At 53.9% G+C, this 3,361-nt stretch overlaps 1 annotated feature.

Annotated features, from left to right (window-relative positions):
• Window positions 656-795: an enhancer, noted in NCBI's record as "active region_11388". NCBI's record gives its function as "activates an Ori minimal core promoter by ATAC-STARR-seq in GM12878 lymphoblastoid cells {active_cell/tissue: GM12878}" and the evidence as "EXISTENCE:reporter gene assay evidence [ECO:0000049][PMID:35858748]".

Here is a 3,361-nt window from a genome sequence, read left to right on the forward strand (position 1 = left end):
GAGCCTGGAGCCAAAGGCCCCAGAAGGAAGAAGCGAGGTCCCGGCACCAAGGGCACGGGATGGCAGCCACTGGGAAAGCACCACGGAAGCCGCATCGGCAGGTTCCTGCTGCCACCCCTTGGTGCCAGGTACAGGGCAGGACGCAGAGGGGAAGCTGGCCCAGGAATGCCGCCACAGGACCCCGCGGGACCCCCTGCAGGTGTCGGAGGGGCTGCCCAGACCCTGCCCAGCATTCTGCAGGCAGCTTGAGTCCCGGGGGGCTGATGAAGTAGGGGCTGGACCCCAAATCTCCAGACAGAGCAGCATCCAGTTACTGTGCAGAGACAGCACATCTCAGTCAAAGACGGGGCCAGGAGGGCGGTGGTCTCCTCTGGAGCCCCTCTTCCTCCCACTGGCAGCCCTGCAGACTCCCAGAGCAAGCTGCACAACCACAATCACACCTTCTGGTTCACCAAATATTCATGGAGTGCTCCGCGTGCCGGCACCGTTCTGGACACAGACGCTCCCCATGTAGACGCTGAGAGGCAGCCTTGCAGACAAGAGTCCTCAGAGCAGCCAGCCCCCGAGTCAGGTGGATCCCCCTGGAACAGCCAGCCCCGAGTCAGGTGGGTCCCCCAGAGCAGCCAGCCCCGCGGCCATGTCTAGAGCCCCTGGAGCAGCCAACCCCTGAGTCAGGTGGGTCCATTTGCTCCCGGTCAAGCGCAGGGACGCGTCCCAGGGGCGTGGTTACAAGGAGGACTTCTGGGAAATTTGTTTCTGGCTCTTAAGGGAGATCCACAGGAAGACACAGCTCCCTTTTTCTATGTGTTACTCCCTACTCTGGGTGTGATACCCCACATTGCTGAGTCATCTTGCTACCAAACTGTCAAGAACCGTGAGAGGTCTGAGGCTAACACATTGGCTTGCCATTGTTTTAAAGATGCTAGTGGAATACACGAGACTCCTGGATCAGAAGCGAAGACCTTTATTACTCATGGCACAGCAAGCAGCTTGAGGTTTTTGTTTTTGTTTTGTTTCATTTTGTTTTGAGACAGAGTCTTGCTTTTGTCACCCAGGCTGGAGTGCAGTGGCATGATCTCGGCTCACCGCAACCTCCACCTCCTGGGTTCAAGTGATTCTCCTGCCTCAGCCTCTCAAGTAGCTGAGATTACAGGCACCTCCCACCAAGCCTGGCTATTTTTTTTGTTTTTTGTTTGTTTGTTTGTTTTTTGTATTTTTGTATTTTTAGTAGAGACAAGGTTTCACCGTGTTGGCCAGGCTGGTCTCAAACTTCTGACCTCAGGTGATCCAGCTGCCTCGGCCTCCCAAAGTGCTGGGATTACGGGCGTGAGCCACCGCACTCGGCCAAGCTTGAGTTTCATGGCTGCCTTGGTTTCCCAAGCCCTGATGGTCCAGGGGATGCTTCGCACAGGGTGTTTGCATCACAGTGGAAGAAACACGAGCTCAGGGAACTCGCACAATGGGCCACAAGCAAGCGTGCCTGTCCTTTATCCTGGAGGAAAAGGCATCTCTATCACACTGAACAGCAAACAACTTTGCCTTCTGCTTTGGAGGGGATGTTCTCTTTACCAAGGCTGTTTGCAGAGCTAAAATCTTTGCAAAGATCATCTGGAACAAAAACGATCAGTGTCTCTGCTTGCAAGATGTGCAGAAATGCCACAGCGACAGGCCCATGGGAAATTGTCTCCCAATGGCCTGAAGACGCAAAAAGAATAAGGGTCTCCAGTGACATTATGGAGCCATCGTGTCAGCCCACGCGGGACCTGCCCCTCTCCGGACTCCTGTCCGGGAACTCCTTTCCTTATCCTCTCAGGTTGTCGCTCGCAGCCACAGCATCCGAGGCGACCTGCTTCATGCCGTGATCCCCTCTACCAGGTTTCGTTTAGTCCTTACCTGCCACTGACAGTGTGATTTGGGACAGATGATTAAAATCTTGTTATCTCACTAAGGTGTGGTGAGGGCCAACGGAGATTTTATGGTGAATGTGCTTAGAAAATGACAGAGTAGTATATCGGCCGGGTGCGATGGCTCATGCCTGTAATCCCAACACTTTGGGAGGCTGAAGCGGGTGGATCACCTGAGGTCAGAAGTTCAAGCCCAGCCTGACCAACATGGTGAAACCCCGTCTCTACTAAAAATACAAAAATTAGCTGGGCGTGATGGCGGGCACCTGTAATCCCAGCTACTCAGGAGGCTGAGGCACTAGAATTGCTTAAATCTGGGAGGCAGAGGTTAACAGTGAGCTGAGATTGTGCCACCGCACTCCAGCCTGGGTAACAGAACAAGACTGTCTCAAAAAAAAAAAAAAAAAGAAAAAAGAAAAAAAGAAAAAGAAAAGAAAGAAAAGGAAAGGAGAAGAGAAGAGAAGGGCATGATTATTTTTTACTTTTCCCCTCTTTCCCTGGTCGCAGGCTGGCCCCTGACTTCATTTCCTGGTGCTTTGTTAAAATGAGTTAAGTGCGAGTTCAGGAGAGAGGAGCCCCTCATTCACTGCACACCCCGCCCTCCGCCCCTTGGTGAACTTTTGTCAGAGAGAGGCCTGTGACCCAGGCGAGGGCAGAGAAGGCAGAACCCATGTTCTAGGTGGGCAAGAGAGGCTGGAGGCCGTCGCAGGCGCGCTGACGCCCAGCAGCAGCCACCGGAGTGAGACAAGCGGTTGGCTCTCCCTGCACCGGCTGCGGGAGCCCCAGCTGCTCCACGTCCCCACCAACCTTGGTTTTGTGCCTTCTTCACTGTAGCTGTTGGGTGGGTGTGTGGTGGCGTCTCTCTGAGGCTGAGCACTTTTCATGGGTTTCTTGGCCATTTGGGCATCCATCGTCCTATAAATCTTACTAATTTATAGGAGTTCTTTATACATTTGAGGAAACGACAGTTTGAGGACGTTGAGGCTGGAGGTGTGGGTACCATCCCTCCACCTGTCTGCCCTACCCAGACCTGTCCCCAGCACCACAGGCCACCTCTTCACATGCACAGCCTGAGTGACAGCAGCGTTTCCCAGCAGGGGCTCAACTCACAGACGCCTCTCAGATAAAAGGCTTCATAGTGGACCCATGGTGCCCACAGCACACGGGAGCGGCTCAGGGAGGTCCTGCAGCCAGCACACCAGTTCAGCCCTGTCTGGCCGAGAGCTTTGCACGCTCATCTAACCATGGTTTCATGGAATGTCTGTGATATCTCATGGAAGTCAAGTCACGCTCTGGGAAAGAAGAGTGGGAAGTGCTGCGCCAGCCTAACCCCTGCCCAGAGACTCACATGTGGACGCAGGATCTTGTATGTGCACACACACCCTGCATCCTGCGACCGACACGCATACACACCTCCCACCACACCCGGCAAATTTTTTTTTTTTTTGTATTTTTGT

The sequence above is a fragment of the Homo sapiens genome, chromosome 16 (genome assembly GCF_000001405.40).
Source record: "Homo sapiens chromosome 16, GRCh38.p14 Primary Assembly".
Taxonomy (NCBI): Eukaryota; Metazoa; Chordata; class Mammalia; order Primates; family Hominidae; genus Homo; species Homo sapiens.